Raw genomic sequence first — 27,482 nt, forward strand, 5'->3', positions numbered from 1 at the left:
ATGGGCAGGAACTGCTCTACACGTGATTCTCATGCTCACATGTAGCACTGGTGCTCAGGGTCTCTCCTGCCCTTGTCAACCAGTGCTAGTGCTAGATGCATGATTGTTCCGTGTTTGATGAGAAGAGGCAAGAATGAGAATCCCCTGTCCTGTGATCAGTGAGTCAGATTAACACTGAGTGTAAGTGCTTTGAGAGAACAGTGTAAGATGTTCTCTCAAAGTCACACAACTATTTTTCCACAGAACAGAGCCCAGGCTCTGTGCTGGCAGCTTGAGGTCAGCTAAGTATACAGCAGCTCAGGAGAGAGCCCCAGAACCCTCTGAGATGAAAAGAAATGCAGCAGTTTGCTTTGAAATTCCTTGGTTAGATGAAGAAATTGCAATGTGCCCACTTTGCCCAAAAGGCAGAGAAACAAGGGTCCAAGAATCACCCAGGGAAGCAATATTGTGCCAGGGAAGCAATATCATGCCTGGGCATCCCTGGAAGCAGTGGAAGATGAATGAGATGGAAGGGCTGGAAGCTCTAGAGTGGGCCGCTTGAGAAGGGATGGTAATTGTTCAGATTCCAGTTGCTGGCCCGGAGGTCACTATGAGGTAGGGACAGCCCCTGAGCCTGAGGAGTGCTGTTTAAAAGCAAGTGAGAGTGGCTGGGCAGCTTGCTTGTATAAACACATGGGGTCACATCTAACCAGTTCTCACTGTGACACAGGAGAATCCCTGAAGGAGGAAAAGGAGGCTTAGACAAATATAGTTAACGTTCTTTAATTGATGTTATTGTTATTTTGACCTGCAGTTAAGTGTAAAATAATTGAGCTAAAAAATAAAATATAATTCTTATTTAAATAACCTAGCTATACAAATTTCATAAGGAAAAATGTTCATATTTCACACTAAAATTGGTCTGATTGGGGAAATATTCATGTCTTTTTTTCTGGGGCGGGGGGTGGGGGGGACGGAGTCTCGTTCTGTCACCCAGGCTGGAGTAGAGTGGCGCGATCTCGGCTCACTGCAAGCTCCGCCTCCTGGGTTCACGCCATTCTCCTGCCTCAGCCTCTCGAGTAGCTGGGACTACAGGCGCCTGCCACCACGCCCGGCTAATTTTTTGTACTTTTTTTAGTAGAGACGGGGTTTCACTGTGTTAGCCAGGATGGTCTCGATCTCCTGACCTCGTGATCCACCCGCCTTGGCCTCCCAAAAGTGCTGGGATTACAGGCATGAGCCACCGCGCCCGGCCTCATGTCTTTTTTAATGAGTGTCGTAGGTTGGGCGGTCCCTAGAAGCAGACCTAGAACCCTGAGACCAAGAGTCCTGTGGAGTGACTTATTAGGAAGGTTTCCCAGGAATAACTGATAGGGGAAAAGGGTAGTGGGCCTGGAAAGGGAAGAAAGGATGAGTATCAAGCAAAACTCCACAGAGATTGACTTTGTTGCAGTCTGTCTTGAGAGTTCTGGTGAGATTATAGGTCACACCTTGGACTTGTCTTCATCGGGTGACAGAGTATTATAATCTCGGATCTCTCAGTCATTGGTTAAGGGCACTGAAGATGTGCCAAGCTCTGTTTAAACATTTTAAATTAGTGACCTACATGTTAACATGTTTGATTGGTTTAATATATACAAAGCATTTTAAAAAGTGCTATAAATGTTGGGCTGATGTTATTCTTACCATCATCATCATGTGCTCCCCTACTCCTCCCATCTCTCTGAATATAAAGTAAAACCTCATCTCGCTTCCATTGCTAGGACCTTGTTCCTGGTTCTCATGTATCATGTTACAAATACAACTTACTGCATCTTCCTCCTCTCCTCTATGAACCCGTCCTAAGTCTCATTCTCTGAAAACCAGTATGGAGGTTCCATGTAAGGGCTGGAGATGGCTGGTGAAGGGCTGATTGTTAAACATTTGTCATATGCCCCTGGGTTAGAGATGTAATTGAAGTTCGCCCTGGATGTAGTCCCATGGGCCTCTCTTTTGCATTATTAAATCATAATGATAAATGAGTATGACCAGGTATTTTATTCTTTCCCTGGAGATGTGGCTTTTATAGATGTGGTCTCCTTGATAATGTTTTGCCACAGAAGAAACTTTTGGCAGAATCATTGCCAGCCTGACAATCCTCCAAATTTCCCGAAGTTCAAGGAATACTTCGAAAACGTAAAGTTCTGAAAACTAGAAAATATTGACTTTCATAGGAATTGTAGTCTAATTATAAAGAAGGGCAGTCTCTGTGCAGGACATCTGATTGTATTTGTGAGGAAGGTGGTCCAGATTTTGGAGGAAAACATTCTTGTGTGTACAACAGGGAATTTAGAAGTTTACCCTTTGATGTTATATGAGAGTGGGTTGGCTAGATGTCATGTAATTTTCATTTTTTTAAAGAAGAGGGAGAGGAAGAGAAAGGTAAGCATCAGATAAGCAGTTGCTAAATCTTTAAAGGGTCAGAGTGTTTCTGTTTGTTTCCTCTTTCTTTAATTTTCTAGGACAGGACTTTTATTCCCTAGAATATACAGAAGAGTCACAAAAGTCTATGCCGTCAGACCTGAAAGGAAGATCCTTTAGTAATTGCCACTGTGTTTAGTGCATGAGGAAATGGAGGCCATCCTGAGTGGAGAAGTGACTTACCCAGGATCCAAGCCTAGTTGATGTGAGAGAAGAGGCTTAAGCATGAGTCCAGATTCTCAGTGCAGTGTGCATGCTAGGATGTCCTCTCCTACATCCCTCTGCACAGCAGTACTCCAGTCACACTGATGTTCTTTTCCTTCTTCAAGCACTTCAACTTATTCCTTGCGAAGTTCTTTGACCAGTTGTTTGTCCCAGCCTGGCATGGGTGGCTCCCTGCTGTTCAGATTACAGCCCCAGGACCTCCCCACAGCAGTTCCCCTCACCACTCAGCATAAACACATCACCCAGTCTCTCTCCATTACTTTTCCCTAGTTTAAGTTCTGCACAGCACTTGAAATTATACAATTTTTTTTGTTGTTCTTTGTTTATTGCCTACAGTCAGTTAAGAGCCCACATGGTGTATTCTTAGCCTAGAACAATGCCTGGCACATGGGAGACCAAAGAAACATGGCATTAAAGTGGAATGAACTGGACAGAGGAACAATGAGCAGGTTTCTCAAGTGGTCCATATTGTTGGATGAGACTTCATTAGAGAGAATGAGAATTATGGTCTAGGTTGGCCCAGTCTAATGGACATAGAACACAAGGCACATATGTAATTTCAAATTTTCTAGTAGCCACAGTAGAAAAAGTGAAAAGAAATAGGCAAAAGCAATTTAAATAATATTTGTATTTAAACCAATGTATTCAAAACATTATTTCAACATATAATCAATAAAAAAATCTAGTGAAATATTTGCTTTCTTTTTTTTTTTCAGACCAGGTCTTTTAAATCTCCTATATAATGTGCATTTATAGCACATCTTCAATTTAGACACTGAATTTTTTTCATAAATAGTTGGTTAGATTTCATAAAACTTACGATTGGAAAAGTAGACTTACATACTTAAAATGTTTCTAGTGACTGAATTAGCTATCACCTTTTAAATTTAGTTAAAAATAAGTTTTAATAATTCACTTCCTCAGTCACACTTGCAACATTTCAAGTTCTCAGTGCTACATGTGGTCAGTGACTGCACAGGTCCATATCAGTTGCACCAAACTATTAGTTTTGAAGTTCCTTAGCCCTTCCTGTCCCATATCAGCTCTGTGGAAATAGTCTGGCATGTGGGGCTCATTGAGTTAGAACACCCAGGCAGGCCTTATGCCAGGAATACATGACTGTGCCTTGAGTCCAGCAGTTTTTTGGCCATTGTGTTAAGAGATAGGAGTTGGTGAATCCTTTTAATACCTTGAAAGTTGAATTGTTTTATTCTGATTTGTCCTAAAAAAAAAAAAGCAAAGTTAGGGGATTCTCACAGCGTCCACAGAGCATATAGTCCAAAATGCAGTGCACAGGTGCAGACATCTCTGGAAGCACAGCTCAGGGCTTAAAAAACACAGAAACAATCACATAAAGCAGAGGACCTGACTCCACAACAACCCTGCCCAGGTGGCCACAGCTGAGTAAGCCACATCTCATGCACTCACTCCACTGAGGCACCGAGAGTTTATCTGTATAGGAAGGTTTGTTGTCTCAGATCCTCTGCAAGGCCCTGAACTGAGGAGCAGCATACTTCACAAGAGTGTTTTGAGGTCCTCACCCCTTACAGAGACCTCTGCATGCCATCTCATCTTAGATATTATGTTAGCAGATTCTACCAGCAACTCCAAAGGAAATTGTTTCATGGTGTGTGCATCCCTTGGGAGAAGAACAAGGGTTGTTATATTCTGAAACATCAGATGTCACAGGCTTCTGTCATGGCTCTAACTTAATTACCAAGTGACAGTTCCTCTCTGCTATGGACATTAGCAGACCAACTCTAATTAAGATGTCCAGGGCTCAGATGCCCAGATAGCCAGGGTGCCTAACAAGTAAACAGAAGCTGAAGTTTCTCCTGGGGAAAACTGTCTCAAATAAAACCTTCAATCACAATAATTTGCAGGTAGTGCTATTTTCCAAATGAACAAACTGTCAAGAATGGGATCCTTAGAAGACAGCCCTCCTTTAAATCCCTCTCTGCTTAGTTCATCGTTATTTTTTACTTTATAACATGGTTGAAGAAAAGTTTATATCAAGAATAATAGAAGTGTCAGCCTGCCTTTTGCTTGTTGTTCACTTGTGCTTCCATTATTAGCATTGCCTTCAATCCAGTGTTTATTTCAGATGTCTTTTTAAGCTACCTGCCCATGTTTTAGGAGCTAACATTTCAAAGTAGATAACAGAATAGGCAAATCCCCTCACTTGGATACAAGTAAACTGCAAGGCTTCCTAGTGTCCTGAGTGTTAAGGAAATAGGGTAGGCCCCACTTCTGAGCCTTCCCAGATGGGGAGCTTCCCCTCTTTCATTAAGATGCCACCTGTCTCAGAGGCCAACCAGAAAATTTTGAAATCACCAAAAGGACTATTTTCAATCCATATTTATATTCACTGTTATTCATAATAATCCTAAAAAAAAAATAAAAAATAAATAAATCCCTCTCTGCAACCCCTGGGTGGCACCAGATCATTTGGTACCCTTCTGTTTTCATGATCTTTCAACACACTTTTATAAAGAATCTACTATGTGCTAGGTATTATGCTAAGCACTGGGAATGAAAAGACATGAACCCTGCCCTCCAAGAGTTCCCAGGCCAGTGGAGAAAAAAGGCTTCACATAGAAAACTGTGGTACAAATGCAGTCTCCTTTATCAGATAGCACACCTGCTGGGGTTATGGCTGTGTGAAAAACTCTAGGGATGCAGAGAGATATAAAGCATAATTTCTTCTCTCCAAAAGCTTATAGTATAATCAAGGAGAAAGGGCAGAATATGAAAAAATAGTGTGTTATAGGATACAGTAGGAAGCTATAAGTCAAGCCATGTTCTTAAATCCAACTTAACTAGTAATAAAAATAATGTTTGATCCACCTCTGACTCCTCTATGTATGTTTGAATTAGTTCTGAACTTGGAGAGAGGCAACAATTAGTCCTCTTAACCAATATAACAACCAAAGGAGACTGACGATAACAAGCCTTTTGTACTTTATGGTGTTTTCCCATCTAATATGCTGTTGACTCATCCTGACAAGCCTGTTGATAGGCATCATTTTAATACCATGTTACTATAAAGAAAATACAATGCCCTAAAAGCCAAGTGTTATGCCTAAAATCCTAGAACTAGGAACATGGACTGAGATTGTCTTACTCCAAGTCCAGTATATTTTCCAGAATCCCAGAGCTTCGGTAGGCACCGCCTTTGTATTTGGAAAACTGTGACCCACTGAAGACAGTTGTGCCATCTGATTGTGTGTCTCTTGATGGAGTTTATAACTTCAGCCAGTGAACTGCTCCAGCCTTTCCCTTGCAGTATGCTTTATCTTGTTTTAGCAGCTTTAGTAGTTGGTCTTTTTGTTTCTCCCCTGGGTCTGTTTAAAAAAATAAAACAAACAGTAGCAGGATAGAGGTACTGGCTCTCAAATCAGATATTGGCTGGGTAATATTTAGGAAAGGAAATGTTGCAACCCATTATGGCAGTGGGTTATTCCTTTTATAAGCTGAGGAATCTGTAGCTCATTTAGCCTCATTATTTTTTGGTTAGCAGGCTCTGGTTGTGCCATCCTTATGGCTGTATTTTTAGAAGTCTTGGATTATTATAGCAACTGTGAAAAAGGATGGGGAAAGAAATCTGGCTTCTAATATACATCCACTTAATTGTTTCTTGAATTAAATTAGCCTTCATCTAGCCCTCAGAGAATGCACTCACTCCTGCTGCTGATTAAAAGCTGCTACCTTTGCGTGGTCACTGAGGGGGTTATCAGATGATGAAAGAGGTATTTCAGGGTGCTGGTGGGCCTCCTCCTCATCCAGTTTATTCCAGGTACCAGCTGGGCCTGGGAGGGTAGAGGTAGGAAAGGCCAGAAAGGAAGCATGTATAATCATGACATCTCCTTCACAGTGCCAAAAGAAATATTCACAATTTGCGTCAAGTCTGATACTCTAGTTGTGGAACTTAAGCCTCTTCATTGAAGCTGATGTGATAGGAGGAAGAGACAGTAATGGGACAGCCCCACTGTGTTTCAGAGGGTGAAAAGAAACTGAGGAAATAAATAAAGACGGAAAACTATTAGGCTGCATCAGTGCAGTAAAGGGCAGAGAATGTTAGCCCTTAAACTATTTCTGTCACACTGTGGTTAATTATAGAAAAGCTTTGAAGGGGTTGAGGGGAAAAACGAGAGTAGGGAACACTCTGAGCATGACAGATGTAAACCGATGTTTTACTGCTCCTCCTTCCCTCCACCTTCCAGTAGTCTCCAGTGTCTATTGTTGCCATCTTTATGTCCATGAGTACCCAATGCTTAGCTCCCACTTATAAGTGAGAACATGTGCCATTAGGTTTTCTGTTTCTGCATTAATTCACTTAGTATAATAGCCTGTAGCTCCATCCATGTTGCTGCAGAGGACATGGTTTTATTCTTTTTTATGGCTGTATAGTATTCCATGGTGTACATGTACCACGTTTTCCTTATCCAGTCCACTGTTGATAGGTACCTCAGTTGATTCCACGTCTTTGTTATGGTGAATAGTGCTGAGATGAACATATAAAGTACCATAATTTTAAATTAACTTCTGTGGTGAATAAATTTTCACTACATTAAGGAACAAAGAGCTTTTAAATTATTTGAGTAATATGGTAATTTAAGTGACTATCATGCATATAATAGAAACATTTTTAATAAGAAAAGGAAATTTCAGTTTATGAAAATCATTATATGTTTTTAATTTTTTTAAGAGAAAGGGTCTCACTATGTTGCCCAGGCTGGCCTAGAACTTCTAGGCTCAAGCAGTCCTCACAACTTGGCCTCCAGAGTAGTTATGTGTACTTTTTAAACTTCAAACAATTAAGCTCTTGAGGTGTCAGTAGAGTAACATCAAATGATCTAGAAATATAGGACTCTGGCTTAGTTCTAGATAGGACTATGCTAGGAAATAGACTTCTCATGCATTATACAGTTGGCCCTTGAACAATGTGGGTCCACTTCTATGTGAATTTTCTCCCATCTCTGCCACCCCTAAGACAACAAGACCAACCCCTCCTCTTCCGCTCTACCTCAGCCTACGTGAAGCCAGTGTGAAGACAACAAGGATGAAGACCTATATGATCATCTACTTCCACTTAATGAATAGTAAATATGTTCCTTCTTTCTTATGATTTTGTTAATAACATTTTCCTTTCTCTAGCTTACTTTATTGTAAGAATACAGTATATATAACATACAAAATATGTGCTAATCAACTGTTTTGTTATCAGTAAGGTTTCTGGTCAACAGTAGGCTATTAGTAGTTAAGTTTTGGGTGAGTCAAAAGTTATATGTGGATTTTCAACTGTGCAGGGGGTTTGCACCCCTAATTCCTGCATTGTTCAAGGGTCAACTCTATTCTTGATGTTAGCATGTCCACTTGTACAGTTAGCAGCAATAGCCTCAGTAATTTTTCAATAGGATTTTGTGCTATATTTGCAAATCATGAAATGTTAAACAATTGTGTTTTTCAGGCTACCATATGATTTGGGGGGATTTCTGTTCTGATATGGAAATAATACTGAGTAGCAAATATAATAATTTACAACATAACTATTATCTCTAACCATAGGGGTGATGGTGTATTTTTTTAATGTATCCATCCTTTCAACTCTAAATTTACTTTGCCTCTCATTTTTCTTTCTCTTTCTCTCCCATCTCTTAAAGCAGAATTCTTTGGTATTGAGCCACTTGTGTTAAAATTGTATAGCATGTTATCAAGACAAGAATCTCTTGAATTTTGTTTGCTTGCTTGTTTGTTTCACTTCATTTGAGGTTTAGTTTTTGACTCATATAGCTTTGCTGGGTAGTCTGGGCTGGTGAACTTTCCTAGGATCTCAGCCAGTCCATGATCAGTCATTCTGTAACCCAAAGGGACATGGAATGAGATTGATAGACAAAGATAAGCATTAGTTTCATTTATTCAACAAATATTTCAATGTCTGTTATATGTGCAAGTATTATATGTGCTATATCCTGGGCATATCCCTTAAAAGTCAATTAAAACAAACAAAATTTTAAACTCTCAAGAAGGATGGCTTTAAAAGATTATCCTTCTCCAAATCAAATTGTTATGGACATTTATTAAGCACTTACTATAAAAGACACTGCAGAGGTTATAATATGTTAAGATAAGGTCTCTAAAGAGTTTCATACAGCCAACCAACAGATATTTATTGTTTCAGTCAGTATAGGCCATCTGCTATAACAACTCAAAGATCACTATGACTTAACATAAGAAAAGTTTGTTTCCCACTCATAGGAAATTTCAAAACAAACATTTCTGGTTGTCTGGGTTTCCTCCAAGATGTAATCAGGGACTCAAGCTTCTCCCACTTAGAATCCCATCATCTTCAATGCCGGCCTTCAAGGTTATCATAGAAAGGGAAGAGATATTGGATAGGTATCCTCCTCTGACTAGAAGTGATACATATAAATTTTTGCTCCTATCCCACTGTCTAGTCACGTGGTCCTATCTAGATGCAAGAGGACAAGGAAATGTTGTCTAGATTTGGGGAGCCACTTCCCAAGAGCAAATCTACACTGTGGGAAGGAAATGTGAATCTTGGATAGTCAACTAGTCATCTCTGTTCTTAGCTCTAAGCTTAAAAAACTCTAGGTGCAAAGAAAACTAATGAAATAAGACAGACTGTCAAGCATTGGATTTTTCTGACGGCCTATGATATGTAGTAAAATAAAGGTAATAGGCATGTTTTTCAGACATAACTAATTCTAATCACTGTTGCTATGAAACTCCTACAGCACTGTTTTATTAATAGTTTCCTCTTATGGAGTTCTGTTGTTACTGTCACCATCGATGTATCTGTTGATGTGGGTGTCCTTGAAATAATGACTGACTGACCAGAACCACCTTAATTTCAAGGTTTGATAGACTCATGGGGGTAAATATTGCTATTCACAGGATTGAAAAGACTGAAAGAGAAAGAAAAACATGATTCATTTCAACTCTCTGTTATGGTGGTATTAAAAGAATTGAAAAATTCTGGGTATGTGAGATGAATGAAAACAGGACTACCATCTAAGGTTATTCAGGTTGTTTGCTGCACAACTGTGGGGGCACCATTCACATTCTAAGCTGTATAAATTGTGTCCTCCAGGTGTTGTGTGGCTAATATGTAGAGAATCTGAATGAAAATTTTAGCAATGGAGTAACTAGGAAAACAATAGCATTTTAATCACAATTCGTGAGCCTGCAACTATACATGCACACTGGAATCTAGCTGATAACTTGCTCTTTAGGTTTTGCTAATTCAAGTTCTGATCAACATTTCTTAAAATAGTATGTAAGAAAGTCTTGTTTCTTAAGCAGATATTTCATGTTTCTGTAGAGAAGAGGCAAGAAAAATCAAGAGGAAGAGAGTTTGAGAGTATAATGAAAAGTAGAGAAACAAAAAAGAAAAGATGAAGGGGTCAAGGAGTTATGACATTTTGAGAACTAAATGAGTAGATTTGGAGACTTCTCTGAACCTCCGAACTTCTGATCACTTATCTGTAAAGTGGGAGGCTTAGACTAGGTGATCTCCATTCTTGCATACAGTGTTCAAAGAAACATAAAACACCATATGTATTTTCCATCTGCAGTTGATTGAATGTGCAGATGTGGAATCTGTGGATATGGAGGGCTGACTGTACTACCCAATTTTATATAAAAGACTTGAGCATTCATAAATTTTGATATCCAAGGGGAATCCTGGAACCAATCCCTTCTAGGTACAGAAGGCCAACTGTATTATGTGTTATAAGTAATCAAGAAACTATTTGAAGTATACAAGAGGATGTGTGTAGGTTACATGCAAATACAATGGCATTTTATTGCAAGGAACTTGAGCATCTGTGGATTTTGTTTTCTTCAGGGGTCCTGGGACCAGTCCCTCAAGTATACCAAGGGTTGACTGTACAGAGAAACCTATTACAGTTGTTGTTTTACTCAAGAAATACCATATAAGACAAGAAGAGTGGTTTGGTGGCAGAAACATTTGTCTGAGATTCAGAAAAGATAGATTCTAATACTGGCTCTCCTACCAACTTGTTGATCATTTCACCTTTCTGGACCTCAGTTTACCCATTTATAAGAAGTCTCAGTTTACTCACCTATATAAAGTGCATCAAGTGATCTGTAAGGTTGTTTCAACTCTTCCTAGTCTCTGATTCTAGAATTCTTAAATGGATGTATGTTTTTGCCCTAAAAAAACAACAAAAATTAGCCCAGAATGTCATCAGATCTGCACACTGGAATCATATAACATGGGAAAAGCCCACCAAAGGCCAAAGAAGAAACATAAATTATGACAGTATGTGGTCTCTTCAAGTTAGTCCATCCCAGTTGTTACTGCTTACTAAATTTATCAAATTCTTTAACTCTTTAGGTATTATTAGATTTGTACAGAAAACAGAAACACATACCACCCTTTCTGATAGGGTTTTTGAATTCTAAATCCATAGGAAGATTTCGTGTTGCCAGTGGTTAATTTAATTTTACCTGCTTTCATTGTTTACCAGGTTTCCCTTGGTTGGCTGACAGCCATCTTCAAAAATGTGTTCTGAGCATCTCTTGGGCATATTGCACTGTTGTAGTCATTATGAATTTTAAAGAAAACAAAAGGAAAAAGATAACATGCCTGATCTCACATAGTTCAAAATAATTCCAACAAATTCGGGAGGTAACTAATTAGATAATTTTAAAGACTAAATTGTCAACCTGGCTGCAGCACTACTGGGGTTCCTAAATATGTCATGTAAAGGAATATATGTCATATTCCTATAAAAGAACATTAAAAAGTATTCAAGCCAGGCACAGTGGGTCACACCTGCAATCCCTGTGCTTTGGGAGGCTAAGGCAGATGGATCCCTTGAGGCCAGGAGTTCAAGACCAACTTGGGCAACATAGCAAGATCTCATCTCTACCAAAATAAATAAAATTATTAAATAAATGTTTGTAGGTTGAATGAATGTACCTAGGAAAATTTCATCTATAACAAAGGCAGCCAGTGAACAAACCTATTGGTCAGTAGTGGCTCTTAGTGGAGAAAAAAATAGTGACAACAAAGGCTTCCCTTGAGAATTGGAAACCATAGGCCTGCCCTCTTGTGGTTTTGGTTTTGATTCCTATTAAATATGCAATATGAATAACTCTAAGATGCCATGTAAATAAAAATAGTTCCAGTTGGTAACACCTTCTGGGACCCAGCTAAAACAAATGGAAATTCTCTTGGTAGGAAAATGTTCTCAACCAAGGTGCCTCAAGATACTTGCATATTAACGTCAGTCGAATATGTGATCTCAGTAAAAAGTTACCAAATACATAAGAAAGCAAGCTATGATAAGCAAGACTCAGCAAAAGGGAGAGGAGAAAAAAAAGAGATTGATGATTGATTGATTAAGACTGCCAAAAACTTAGAATTATCAGATACTGAATATGAACTACTTGATATTCTCATAATCTATTAATGTTTAACAATTACCCCAGACCTTCGTGGCATAAAACAACCATGTATTATGCTCATGGAGTCTGTGGGTCAGTGACTTAGGATATAGGAAGAATGATTTGTCTCTGTTCCATGTTGTCTGGGTCCTCAGCTAGATGGCCTGAAGGCTGAAGTGACTTGACAGCTGACTGCTGCAATACTCTGAAGTCTCATTCATTCATATTTCTGGTGGTTCATGCTGGCTGTGAATGGGACCTTAGTTGGAGTTATCAACCACACACCCAAATGTGGCCTCTCCATGTGGCCTTGACTTCTTCACAGTATGTTAATTGGTTCCCAGGGTGTGTGCAGAGAGAACCAGATAGAAGTCATATAATCCTTTCTAACCTACCTTCAGAGTCATGCAGCATCACTTCCACAATATTTTACTCATTAAGGAGATTACATGGCCTAGCCAGGCTTGAGGGAAGGGAAAATGTATTTCATTTCTTGATGAGGATTGGCAAGGTTCTGAGAAGGCATTTGGAGCCAGAGTATTGTTGCATCCATTTTAGAGACAGTCTGTTACACTATATAAAAATACTGAAACAAAAGATGGAAATAGGGGAGGAAGATTATGAGACGATAGACTACTCAACTTGAAAAAAGACCCAGCTACAACTTACAAAATTAAAAACATGTAATTATTGGAATTTAAAATTCAGTGGATGGCTTAACTAGCAGATTAAACATCTTCTTTAAAAATATCAATGTACTAAAACAGAGCTTAAGAAATTACTTGGAATATACTATGGAGAAATAAGAAAGTAAAAAAATGAGAAAGGGTAATTGAGACACAGAAGCTAGTATGAGAAGGCCTAACATAAGTACAGGTGGGGGTTCAAGAACGAGAGAATAGAGACAATGGGGGAGACGTATTTGAAAACATAATGGCTTAGAATATTTTCTAGAATGTATGAAAGATATGCATACTCAGATTCTGGGAATACTGTGAGTCTCAAAAATAATAAGGGCTGGGCGTGGTGGCTCACGCCTGTAATCCAAGCTCTTTGGGTGGCCGAGGTGGATAGATCACCTGAGGTCAGCAGTTCAAGACCAACCTGGCCAACATGGTAAAACCCCATCTCTACTAAAAATATAAAAATTAGACAGGCATGGTGGTGCACGCCTGTCATCCCAGCTACTCAAGAGGCTGAGGCAGGAGAATTGCTTGAACCTAGAAGGCGGAGCTTGCAGTGAGCCGAGATCATGCCACTGCACTCCAGCCTCTGCACTGGCTGACAGAGTGAGTCTCCTTCTCAAAAATAAATAAATAAATAAACAACAAGAACTGCATGCATGCCTGGTTATAAAAACAGCAAATAAAGAGATAATCCTAAAAGCAGCCAGAGGAAAATGTTCCTTATAAAGGAATAATATTTAAACTGATGGTTGACTTCTCAACAGCCACCACAGAATCAAGGAGACAGTGAAATAATATCTTTAAAATGCTGATAGAAAACAACCAGCAACTTGGAATTAAAGATCTGATCAAATAATCATTAAAGCACGAGGGTAAAATAAAGACATTTTCAGATATTTTTTAAAGTAGAACATTTTCACAGATGGACATTCATTTACAGAACTTCTAAAAGATATGCCTCAGGAAAAAGAACATTTCTTCTGAGAAACAAGGTCTTAAATATAAGAAGGAATAGCCAGCAAAGAAATTGGCAAACATAGTAGTCAACCCAAGCAAACATTTTCTGTATGAAACATATAATAATGTCTAATATGTGGGGTTAATGAAAAACAACACAGAATAAATATACTAGACAATAATAGCAGTTAAGTTGGGAGGGGATGAAGAGAATCAAAGTCTTATAAATTCCTTGTATTGTTAGGATGGAAAATATATCAATTAACTTAGGCATAGTCAAGTTTTAGTAGGCATGGCAAAATTTCAAGGAAACTACTAAAAGACATAGAATTCATAACTTCCAAACCAGTAAAACAGAACTATTAGAATAAGAAAGAAAAAACTCAGTCCAAAGGAAGGCAATCAAGAAGGGGAAAATAGATATAGAGAAATCTGGATAAGTAGGACAAGGCAGAAATAAATCCAAATGTCAGTAAGCACAGTAAATGTAAATGGACCAAACTAGCCAGTTAAGTGCTCCACAATTCACTTCATGAAATTACTATAACCTTAATGCAAAAGCCAGAAAATGATAGTATGAGAAAGTAAAATTACTGAGTCAGTCTTACCCGTGAACATAGTTCTAAAGTCATGGCTTGGTGAGAGGGATGACAATCATGAAACTGAAAGGGAAACAGTGCCTGTACTTACCATCCCTGATGTCAAAATGCCTGCAAGGACACTGCCTTCCTTTAGTTTATTTCTTGGGTAGAGACGACAGGAGGTCTTTATTGATATTATCTCATTTGAGATTGTCTCTTAATATTCATAACCTAAGGCTGCTATACAGTGCCTGTGTTATATAACAGCACCTCTTTTACAACTCAGGATGTCACAGTATTATGAGTAATGAGGTGCTTGTGGGAGTTATTGAAGGATTAACTATAGACTTGTAACCAATCCAAGAATTGCAGGAGATGAGGCACCCTCGTAAAGAATTTATCAAAGTAATTTGTCTATGTTGCTGTGGACAGATTACATTCTTATTCACTCTCTGAAAGTTTATTGCCAGTCTCTGAGTAGTTACAAATGCATTATTAATAATCCTTAGAAAAGCAATACATTGTTGCATGGCTTAAGCTTTGCTCGTGTCTAGAAATTTGGAACAGTTGAACCTGACTTCATTTCACTGCCTCTTAAAACTTGATCCCCCTGAAACAAAACCTAAAGAAGTATTGTGTTTCTCCCTCTAAATTCAGTGAATCTACTTGTCATTTATTCAGTGGTATTTGAAAGCTTAAGTTGGCAAATTAGACTAATATTAAAAACTTAGATATGCCTCTCTTCCTTCCCCATCTTTGAGAGCTGTTACTGAGTAAAGGAGCAAATGAAAAGGGATGAAACTCTCTGGTAGTTAAGTAGTGTATCTAAACTAAGTGGAGTAGATACTGCCTAGTTGTAAACTTCAGCCAGTTGTCTGTTGAGAAAGACAGGTGCAGGGGCTTTTCTTTTTTATTTTTCATGCAACAACTTACTTAGTGTATAACACTGAGCTATCCCTGTTTGGAAGAAGCCAGAGGCCCAGAAAATTTTTGCTAAAGGAGGGGTTGCTTTATGTATCTCCTTTAAAGGGAGATGGGTAGGACAGGATTCAGATGCTCCTGAGTCCCATAGTGAAAATACCATTTATAACCTGCTGTAGACTGTATGTTTATGATCCCCCCAAATTCATATGTTGAAACCTGAAGCCCAATGTGATGGTATTTGGAGGTGGGGCCTTTGGGAGGTGATTAGGTCATGAGGGTGGATCCCTCGTGAATGGGATTAATGCCCTTATAAAAGAGACCTTAAGGAGCTTTCTCACCCCTTCCTCCGTTTGAAGACATGGTGAGAAGGTATGGTCTATGAACCAGCCAGCGGGCCCTCACCAGAAACTGAGTCTGCTGGCACCTTGATCTTGGGCTTCTCAGCTTCCAAAACTATGAGAAGTAAATTGCTGTTGTTTGGTATTTTATTATAGCAGCCCTAACAGACTAAGATCCTCACCATAGTTTCCATCAAGCTACAAGAAGGGCATGTTGTGAAGGCAGGAAAGCATACCATGTGGTGGGCCCAGGCTGAAAGGAGCCAGCTGCCCACACCACCTCGCTTTTGATAAAGTTGGATGGAGGGGGGTGATGGAAGTCCAAAGGAATTCCTTAGGTGTTTGTGTCTCACATCCTTATCTCTGAGGCAGCTGCTGCCAGCTCATCTCCCTGTCCCTGCAGCTCAGAGGGCAGAGAGGTGCATTCCCTAGAACCAGTCAGCATTCAGAGCTGTTTGGCATCACCACTGCCTCATACTGCTATTCTTCATCCTCTTCAGACTGTATCCACTCTGACTCAGTGGTCATCCCCAAAACTTTGCATGAAGCAAAAGGAACTCTTCATTCAGACAGAGAGAGAGTTGGAGAGGGAACCAGGTGAGCATACCTCATGGCCTGAAGAACGTTATCCAAGAGAAAAAGTTTATTCTTAGAATTGTTATGTAGGCAACAATTCACTGATCTCTGCCTCCAAGTGGCTTAAAATTCACTGACAAGATATAGAAAAGTGAAATGTAAGATTGAGAGAATGATTTGAAAATAATTGCTTTTGTTTTAGTATTTGCAGGCCCATATGCAATAATCCTTTCATTTTTCCCTTGGTTTATCCTTCAGTCTCAGACTGTCCTGATGGGTAGCTTTTTAAATATAGGGTAGCAAGTCCACTAACATTTCTCCCAGTTACCAAGGAGACCTTATTGGCCTTAATACATTACCACCACTAAGTCAGAAGTCTTACATAATTAAGTGTTGTCATCTGTTTCACTTCGTACTTTAATAAACCTGGACTGATTCTTTCATTTTGCTTCTAATGCTTGCTTCTCTAGCCTGTGGTGAGATGTCATTCTTTCCTTTATAAGAATTGTGTTTTGATGACCGAAGAAGGGTTTTTGGTGTTGTGAAATTCTTCTGGAGTTCTGGAATTATCTCTTTCCTATGAATGCTTGAGGAACCACTAGAGGAAGCCATTGAGAAGTGGGCAAGACCACAGGTTCTGGACTAGCCTCCCTCCTTGGCTCAGATGTGGAGTACCTACAAAGTGCATGCCCCACTGCTTTCGCATATTTACGTAAGAGGTAGGTGGTGTTATCCCCATTATACAGTTGAGGAAACTGAGACTCAATAAGGTTAAATAATACTCAGGGTTAAATTGGCTGCAAATAAATAATTGAATTAAGATTTTAATTCCTGGCCTCTGACTGCAAGCCCGGTGTTCTTTCAGCTATTTGATATTGGCAGTTAGGAGAAATAATGGGTTCAAGGAAATAGAATTTTTCAATAGGAGGACAAGAGTACCTTTGGGTCCCGATACAGGGCCCAGTGGCCACTAGTGATGATATCTTACCACAGAGGCAAGGAAAGTTTACTAATACCTGGAGTATGGGTGTGATTCTTAAAAACAGGACAAACCTTGGAGGAATGGGTCTCTCAGGAGATCAGTTCTTTATTTGGCCCAAAGAGCCAAGGAGGCAGTTCCTGTGTCAGTGCAGAATAGGCGGATGCCCACAGAAGGCTCTTCAGAGTCCAGATAGGTGAAGGCGTGTGGTAACAGAGCCCAGGAAAGGATCTGCAGGGCCCAGAGCCAAGAAGAGTAAGAACTGGTTTTATAGGCACAAAGAGATTAGTGAGGCTCCTGCCAGATGTGGAAACAACCGTACCAGTTCATCTGCACCTTGAGCCAGGTGTTAAGCGTCTTTGCTTCAGTAAAGCATTAATATTTTCTTGCTTGTAAAGCTGCTCACCTGTGACTGTTTGGGTCTTCTTTTCATTTTTTCACTAAGAATATTGGATACCTACTGTGTGCCAGTCATCATTCTAGGTAGCTAATAAGACAAATAAGATATCTTCCCTCCTGGAGCATATAGACTAGTTAGGGAATCTAGACAATAGTAAAAAAAAAAAAAAAAATTTATTATCAGCATGAGATCCCTACTAAGCAGAGAATTAATGGGGTTACTATGATGGCATGTGATTAGTAGCTAGTTTGGGTGGTCAAGAAAGCATCTCAGAATCGATGACATTAGGTTGCTTTGTGAATGACACCTGCCAAGGTGAATAGAAAAGAATTTGCAGATAGAAGAACAGCAGAGGTAAAGGCCCTGAAGTAGGGACCTGCCTGAGATTGTTGAGGAATAGAAAGAGGGCCAATTGTGGTCAGAGCATAGTGGTGAGAGAGAACCAGTGGAATGAGATGAGGTATGCATGCAGTTGGGCAGCAAAAGTAAGAAGTTTGGGTTTTATCTTAAGTGTAATGAGGAGCCCATTGGAAAATTCTAAACAGATAAATAACATGATATTCTTTATGTCTTGAAAAGATACCTGACTGCTTTGTGGAGAATTGATTGTAGGAGTTTAGGAGTGGAAGCAGTGTTTCCAGTTAGGAGTTGATTACATAGTCAGGCAAGAAGAGATGGTGACAAATTGGACTAAGGTGGTAGTCATGGATATGGGGCAATATGAGAATCAGGAAACATCTTGGAAGTAAAGTCAAAAGGATTCGTTCATGAATTGGATGATATAGAGTGAGAGAGGCAAGTTCAGTCAACCCAGAGAGTCAACAGAGTAAAAGATGTCCTAACCAGATAGGTTTTAGGTCCAAAATTGCTCATTATAAAGAAAGAGATAATGAGCTTTTTGTGACCTCAGTGCTGATGGCAACAACAGCATCATATGTAGATCCTGTTGTGGTTAGAACACACGGACAGTGAGAAATCACAAGGACAAAAAACTAGGGCCATCTCTGGAAGTGGTACCTGTTTCATTCATTTATTCATTCATCAAATATGTAATATCTGCTAGGCATAGATAAGTGTTCTGAATATAAAAAGATAAATTTCTACCTCAGATGCTCACACTCTTATTCCTTATGGGAATTTTCACAAACAGTCCACCATGAAGTCACACCTTTGGATTGAGACCTCTGTGGACATCAAGTTAGTTGATGTCTGCAATCAACAAAGCAGCCCTTTAATTTCTGGATTGGTTTTGGTTTTTCTACAGCAGTAATAACTTAGACCCTTTTAAAAATGCATTTCTGAAAAGAAAGCAGACATCGTCACTCTTCCTGGCTGTGCATCAGTGATTGTGCTCCTCATACTCTTACTTACCTCTTCTCACCTGCCCACTCCTGAGACTTACTGGCATATAGTAGCTGAAAGTATTACTGTTTTCCTGGAGGATTGTAAAGGGTGTCTGAAAGCACTCTATTTTTCCCTCTCACAAGATCCAAACTGCATTAATTTATCATTGAATATTTCCATTTTAAGAAGCTGTTAATTCCAATAAACGTTGATGGAGGTTTGAAGCCCAAACATTTTAATGAAGCCATAAATCAAGAAGCCATGGTGGCTTTCTTCAAATGTCCTCACACAAAATGATCTGCAGGAGGGAAGGTTTTCTATGGTATTTTAGCGGCTGCTTCAGGCAGACAGATGCATTCCCAGCTTGGATGTTAATATGTTATAGTTAGCTCAGTGTAAAGCTGGTGTGGAAAACCATGAGTTTGTGGTTCAGTTGTCAGCTACTTCATGTCCTTTCTCCCTCACCTGTCTCAAATTCTGGCATTGGTCATAAAGAGCCTTGAAGTTGCACATATCAGAGGGCAAGTATCATTAACATATGTATTTGTTTCCTTAGGTTATCCCTGCCCTTCATAACTACATTTGCCAATGTACTTTACCATTCAGGTTATAGCTCAGTTTAATATTCTGCCTCCACTCAGCATAGTCTCATACACTCATTTTTGGAATTCTGCAGCTATTACCTTTATGTGTTGAAATGAGTGAGTGTCTTATCTGCCTGTGGACTAAATTCTCACTGGTATTTTTTCAAATGTCTTAAAATATTCACTTGCTTATAATTTCATACTGAATGCAGTTTTCCTGGGCTCAGTGGATCTGTTTCAACATATTGTATCTATTCTGTATAGTGTCATATATTATTTAAATGTATTTATTATAAAATAGGACATGCACAAGTTTTGCAGATTGCCAAGGAAGTTGCCCTCTGGGCAGATTTTCTATGAACTACATCAATCTCATGATCTCCTCCTCCTCCCTACTTTCATTTATAGAGCATCCTGGTACCAGACGTTACCATAGTGATGTAGAAAGATTGCTCAAACAAAAATGGGAGAGACATAGCAGTGAGCTTTTATCTTCACTGCTTTGGGTTGCTGTGCACCCACCAACTAAGATACAGCATGTGGAAAAGCAGGGAGACATATCCTAGAGGCTACTAACTGTCATTAGAGATGAGGGTGTTGTAATACTTGTGAATTCCTGAGAAGTCAGTTCATTAGCTAGTTATTAAGTCCCCGCTGTGTGCCAAGCCCCACTAGGCGGGGGATGCACACAAGAGAAGATATGGTTGCTCCCTTCAAAGAACTTACAGTCTAGTAATTGCACCCCTTTCACTCAAAAGAGTTGCTTTGCAGAAATCTTGACAATTCCAAATATGTTCCCTTTTCTGACAGGCGTCTTTTCCAAATCTCTTGAGAATAGATTCCTGAAGTATATGATTATAAATCAAATTTTTGTCCTGAATACCTTGCTAATGGAGTGAAAATGGGAACCTGTATTGAAATACTTAAAACTTGTGTATTTTTGGAAGCTCTCTGTTGCTGTAGATCATAGGCAAGGGTTTGTAACACTTTGTAAACCAATTGCTATGTTCCCTTGCAAAAATCCTGACCTATTGAGAATGCCCCAGGTGAGGTAGAGACCATATGTGTTGTAAGACTCCAGACAACCTTGTGTGGTGAACTGGAAAGCTTTTACTTTCTTAGAGAAAAATAATTGAAATACTGTAGTGGTAAATTAAAGGGAAGGAACTGGAGTGGCAAGTGAGAAATTAGGTGAATTCCATTTTCTGCATAAGCAAGTAGGTAGCAAAGAACATGCCATCTGAAGCTAAGTTATTACCTGAGTGTTTGCTGCCTTTAAAAGCTCCATCAATTCTTCTAGTATACTTTGTTTGGGACTGTTTGCTACGTTTCTATTCTATCCTGATCACAATTAAAGTAAAATAAACCATTTCAGTGCTTGGAGAATCCCATAAATATAACAATGAAATTTTTCCCCAAATCTGTGAACACTGTAGCCTTGTTCCCTGACCTGTTGGAAAGGTGAAAAGAAGCTCTTGAGTGATAATACTTAGAGATTCTAATAACACTAAAAAGTCAAATTTGTTGCTTAAGTTTGAATTTTACCATTCATGTCAACCCCAGGAAGGACAGACTTCTAAACAGTGAAGTAGCCCAAAATTAGCAATGGAAGAGAGAGAAGGACACAGATAATCCCAAAACTATGTAATCAAAACTTGCAGGCAGCATTTGGGCAGGGTGGAGAAGTCAGTCTGCCATGCTGTCTTTTTCCAGACCACACAGCTGCGGTGAGAGGACAAGGGATAGGAGAGCTACTGCAAAAGGCACATCCAGTTCAGAAATAATTGTTTTTTTCCTTTAACTTGAGCCTTTTTCAGAGCAGTTATTTTGTCTGTTTATGGAATAGACATTCTTTCATCCTGCAAAGGAAATAATCATTTTCCAGCTCAGAGGTGAATTATGGAGTATCAGGGAAGTAGAAGTGAAAATTTTTAGATATTCTACTTTCAAGAAGTAAATAACAGACCAAGTGTGATGATGCATACCTGTAATACCAGCCCTTTGGGAGATCAAGGCAGGAGGATCGCTTGAGGCTAAGAGTTCAAGACCAGTCTGAGAAACGTAGTAAGAACCCATCTCTTAAAAAAACAACAACAAAAATAGAAAACTTTTTTTTAAAAAATTAGCTGAGTGTGGTGGCACATACCTAGTCCCAACTGCTCAAACTCCATGAGTTTGAGGCTGCAGTGAACTATAATTGTGCCACTGTATTTCGGCCTAGGCAATAGAGCAAGACTGAGTCTCAAAAAAAAAAATTCACCCGAAGAAAGCTATCTATCATGCTATTTTCCCAGTTAATAATAGATTACTTCAGCCATCTATGTTCTCTTGTCCAGATTGCTCATGAGCAGGAGCCACATTTGCAGCTGCACGTCTGTGGTTAGAAGTTTATTCTATTAACTTGAAACTGTGATATTCTCAGCAAGAAGCCAACTAACTTGGGATTGAACTAATGTCCACAGATGTAACACCGTTTTGTAGCAAAGATAGCATCATTCCTCTGCAAGTTGTCATTATATTGTTTCTGTCTGATTTGGTCACAAATTCATCACACACAAAAAAAAGTAGTGATAGTCTAAGTGCATGCACTGGCTTTTGGAACAGTCCATGAAGCAAGTATAAATTTGTGGAGAAAACATGAGTTCATGAATATGCAAAGCACTTACCATAAAAAGAACAGGGTTTGAAGGTCATTCGTAAAACAAGCAGTGATGAAGTTACCTACCCTATAGGCTTACTGAAGGGACCAAATGAAATAATGCAGGCATGTCAGTCAGGAAAACAGTGCAGGAAACAGAAATCACTCTAGGTATTTCAAGCAGAAAGGGATTGCATATAAGGAATTATATGCTTCCAAAATTACTGGGAAGGCTAAGGCAGTAGATGGTGGGAACTGTGGTGTCCAAGGACACACTCCACTGTAGCAGCAGTCCGGAGGTCAGGAATGACTCTTGCTGGGCACCAGCACTCACCACAGTCATCTCTAAACACCAACAAGATGGTGACCAAGATACTGAAATGCTGAATACAGCTGCCTCACTGCTGGTCATTCTGAACACTCACATTAATCAAAGATTACATATACCCAGATGGATCCGATTAGCATAGATCTGCTAGGAATCATCATAGCCAGACGTAGGCAAGACAGGATCCTTTGGTTATGTGTTCTATTAACTTACTTCCTCCAGACAGCTTTTGTTCCTGTCTCTAACATTTTGTATGTCTTTGAGGTTTGATGTTCTACCTTGAAGCTTTGAAATAGTTCATTTTAAAATGGGTCCTTGAGCTCCCAACCTGTTGGTAGGCAGAACACATACTTTGGGTTGAATGTGATCACTGTAGCCTGCAGTACAGTGCAGCACTTTCGGCACTAGCACTTGCAGATAAAATATAACTATCCTCCTATCATTTGCTGAGGCTGCAGTGCAGTGATTCTGAACCCAATGTGTGGGAGCCTTTGCGAACCAATGTGCTCACATTTAATCCACACCTCTAACCTTTCCATCTCAACCTGCCATCCTTGACAAGCAGAGCTGCAGTGAGAGAAAATCCCAAGTTTGGACTTCCAAGTAAGGAGATGGAATGAAGAGGTGTCTGCTGTTGGGCTTTTGCGGAAAGCCTGAATGAGATCATTGAAAATAAATGGAATATGCATGCTTTTTCCCCTCCAGATTCCATAGTTCTCCTATATCAAGGCAGATAACAGGGAAGCTATATACTTTATTATTTGGCTCTTTGTAGAAATACCTTCACCAACCTAAAATTTAACATTATGCTTTTGACTTTTTCTTGAAAATGGCTGTATGTGAAACATTCCTATACTTTTTTGTTTTTAAAAAGTTTACCAAAGATACCATTCATTGTGTTGTCCGGTGCCTCTTATATCAAGACCTGTAAGATAAATTCCTCTTATAATTCAATACTAGGACAAAGGTTGTCTTTACTGACAAACTTATATGCTACTCCTTGCAAATATTGATAATAGTGTAATATATTCAGATCTCTTTTTGCCTTGACTCCAAGAAAGCTCTTAAAAAATTAGTTCACTTGCAGTAGTTTCCTTAGCCTAGATTTTCTGGATAATATTCTTCCTCCACCCAGCCTTATCATCACTTGTGGGGGTTGCTGTTAGGTTTTTTTTGTTGCTGTTGTTTGTTTGTTTTACTAATTGTATTCTTATAAACCACCTATCTCCCTTGGGGCATAGATTAGATATCAAATTCATGAATATCAATATTGGTATGAAAAGTCACCTATAGAATTCAAATATGCATGTCTGGAGCTTACCACAGGACTAGTGACTTAGAATCTTTGGGATCAGGACTGAGATAAGAATATAGGAAGTACTCACATAACATTGTCCATAGGTTTTTGGCAACTGTGACTTTAAGCAAAACCACATACAGTAGGTCCTCACATGACACATTCAGTGTTGTTTCGTCATAGTGTAGAAGAGAAAATAAAATTGGTTTTGTTGTAAGTTGTTTTGCTTGAAGTCTCAGCTTCGAAGAACCTGTGGATGACATTAAATGAAGGTTTACTGTATAGTTTTTAAATCTCCACAGGTAATTCTGATATGTTCTCCTGATTAAGTGCACTAAAGTCAGTCAGTCAGTGAGTGGTGTGAGCAAGAACCGGAAATTAAACAGTCAATGGATTGCATATTGGCTGACCCATGTGACATGGCTGGTCAGGCGAGTAGTGACAGTTGTTTAAAGAATGCCCAAGGTGGCCGGGCGTGGTGGCTCATGCCTGTAATCCCAGCACTTTGGGAGGCTGAGGCGGGTGGATCACAAGGTCAGGAGATCGAGACCATCCTGGCTAACACAGTGAAACCCTGTCTCTACTAAAAATCCAAAAAAAAAAAAAAAAAGCCGGGCGTGGTGGCAGGTGCCTGTAGACCCAGCTACTCGGGAGGCTGAGGCAGGAGAATGGCGTGAACCCAGGAGGCGGAGTTTGCAGTGAAGTCGAGATCGCGCCACTGCACTCCAGCCTGGGCAACAGAGCAAGACTCCACCTCAAAAAAAAAAAAAAAAGAACTCCCAAGGTAAAGGGATATAGTTGCTGTAGAGCCACCATTCTAGTGCAATTGACTCGTTCATTTATTTATTCCAACATGTAGTGAGTGCCTACTATGTACCAGGTACTCTGGCACTGAGGATACCAAAATGATATAGTCCTCTGCCTCTAAGGAGCTCACAGAGTCTAGTAGGACTGTCAGACATATAGATAATAACTACACATTATAGCAAATACAAGAATGGAGACATGCCCAGGGCATCATGGCAGCCCAGCGGAGAGGCGTCTGCTCAAATCTTGCAAGAAAACGTCAATTAAGGCTTCCTGGAGAAAGCAGCTAGAGAGTGGATCTCAAAGGATGAACAGGAGTTATCCTAGATGAAAGATATCCCAAGAAGAAGGGCCAGCACTATGTGGGAAACTATATACTGTGAATAGGAGAAGTCAACTATTGCTGCATAACAAATTACCCCAAAACTTAGTGGTTTAAAACAATAAAAAATTATTACCTCACAATTTCCATAGATCAGAAATTCAGGAGTGGCTTAACTGGAGATTCTAATGAAATGTCTCTCATATGATTATGGTTGTGGTCAAGGGGTCAGCAGGAGCTACAGTTATCTGAAGGCTTGACTGGGGCTAGAGGATCTGCTTCTAAAATCTTTTACTCATGTTGCAATGGACAGGAGCCCTCCTCAGTTCTTTACCATGTGTGTCTCTTGATAGACCTACTCACATGTCCTTGTGACATGACAGCTGTCTTCTCCCAGAGTGAATGATTGAAGAGAGGGCAAGGTGAACACCAAAATATCTTTTATGTAATAACCTTGGAAGTCACACAGAATCCTAGAGGTTACACAGATCAGCCCTATTCAGCATGGGAGGGGACTACACAAAGGCACGAAACAGGGATCATTGAGTAGATCTTGAAGCTGGCTACCACACAAGGCCATCAAGCTTATGATCTGGAATGGCAGAAGCTGGCTAGGTACAGAGCCCCATCCTGAAGGAGCCCAAAGACCATCAATAAGGAGCTGAGACTTCATGTGTGGGCATCACGAAGCCATTGCAGAGGCAGTAAGAAGAGAATTGATGATGTCAGATTTACATTTTAGAAAGGCTTCTTGGACAGTATGGAGAAAGGTCCTTGGAACAGAAGGGCCAGTTAGTTGTCACAGAAATCCAGCAAGATCATGTGGGCCCATATCAGGGCAGTTGTGGCATAGAAATATAGTCCTTTATTGTTCAAAATGTGGTACATGGACAAGCAGCTTTGACATTACCTGGGAGATTGTAGAAATGCAGACTCCCAGGCATCAGGTTAGACATAATAGAATCTGATTCATGTGGACCTAAAAGTTTGAGAAGTGCTATTATAGAGGATGTTGTAGAAATAATTAGGAACACAGAGGAGAGGAGACCGACTCTGAAGTCATGTTTATTCTACTTCAAAACTAGAATGCATATTGTAAATTTTTACTGAAATCTACAGAATAGATCCAGAGAGCTTTGGGCATTCACAGCATCAGTAATGATATGGTATGATCTAATAACAGAAGGGCTTTCTCTGTTATTATAAATGGTAACCATGTAAATAAATGTTGCCAGCAGAGGAAACCTACTGAATACTTCTCTGCTCTAAACTTTACATCATTTTCCAACCAGCTTATTTCTTTTGTCTCAGAGTCTGAAGAACAAGATAGCTAAATTTTCAGAAAAGGGGCCATGGGGAATGGAATAATGTGATAAACAGAGATTTGGAAAGCTACAAGATAATGCACATTCTGGAAAATATCCTGATTTCCAGATGACCTTTCCAAGCATTGTCTTTTCTGGGATTAGATGTGGGAGCCAATTAACTACTGGGCTTCACACAGTAAATGTCTGCCAGGAAATTCATTACTTGCATATGGTCAACAGGAACCACCATCCAGTAGTTTTTTTTTAACTTGTTAAGCACAAGTGCATCTTGTGATGTTCTCCTGGTCTGCCGGCTGGCAAGTGCCATCTGCCAACATTGGCCATGTGTCAATCTTTGTTTTTCCCCCTCCATTCTTCCACCTACCTCTTTACAGTTAAGAAAATTATATAAATCAATTAATGCTGGATCTCAGAACTCAGATGAATATGCTGCTAGTTCTGCAAAGAGAAATAGAGAAAGAGGGGGAGGGAGGGAGGCAGCAAGAAACAGATCTACCTTTTAAAAACTGATAAATGAGCATTGAAACAATGAGAATACTCCATCAATACAATTGATGGAGGAGGGAGAGTTTCCTCTTGCAGCATGTTCAAATGCTTTGGTGGCTAATGATTTCAGACCTCCCAGAGCCTTAGTCCCATTCTTCTCCAGGCATGAACCGTTGTCCCTACTACTAATCAGGAGGTACTTTATGTAAACTCATCAAGGAGCACTGGGGTCACTGGCTCCAGGAGCTGCTAGAGATTAAATGGCTTCATTGGCATATGTCCAGATAGAGGAAAAGTGAAAGGGAAACTGGTACCTTTTCCTTGGCCCTTCTGTCTGACTCCCTCCTGTGTTCCAACCCCTGATAGTTTGGTTTCCAATGAGTTATTGCTCATTTATTGAGTCAGTTTTTAATTGGACTCTCACATGATATGAAGTTTTCATTGCTATTTAGAGTGGTTAGACATGTTTCTGACTAGTAAATCTGAGACTGCCAGTAATTACAGAGCCTTAGGGAGAAGAGCTCAAAGCTGCTTGTCACCTATAAACACCTCCTCCTCTGGGGTTCCCAAGGAATATGTAGGGAAGTTTGCAATTGTACCACCCCATCCTGAACTTCAAGGACTTTCATGTCAATACTCCCACACCAAACCTTGAGTGAGTATTAAAAATAAGATCTACTTCCTCCTCCTGGAGTGAGCTAGTGTTGGGGGAAGGGATGCTAATTAAGAATATTCCCAAATCTTGTGAAAGATAAACCTCTTTTTCCTATTTTTGATTATCTCAGCTTAATAGGCATCATATCCC

General features: G+C 39.7%; 1 protein-coding gene and 1 long non-coding RNA gene across 4 annotated transcripts in view; one reads left to right on the top strand and one right to left on the bottom strand.

Annotated features, from left to right (window-relative positions):
• Positions 1 to 27,482, top strand: part of TMEM108 (transmembrane protein 108) — a 359,385-nt gene that overhangs the window by 204,199 nt on the left and 127,704 nt on the right. The gene's annotated exons all lie outside the window — the stretch shown is intronic.
• On the bottom strand, positions 3,859 to 14,532 carry TMEM108-AS1 (TMEM108 antisense RNA 1). Its single transcript, NR_110812.1, has 3 exons — positions 14,436 to 14,532; positions 10,773 to 10,863; positions 3,859 to 6,008 (listed from the first exon to the last, which is right to left on the bottom strand). It is a non-coding gene; the product is annotated as a TMEM108 antisense RNA 1 (long non-coding RNA).

The sequence above is a fragment of the Homo sapiens genome, chromosome 3 (genome assembly GCF_000001405.40).
Source record: "Homo sapiens chromosome 3, GRCh38.p14 Primary Assembly".
In the NCBI taxonomy this organism is placed as follows: Eukaryota; Metazoa; Chordata; class Mammalia; order Primates; family Hominidae; genus Homo; species Homo sapiens.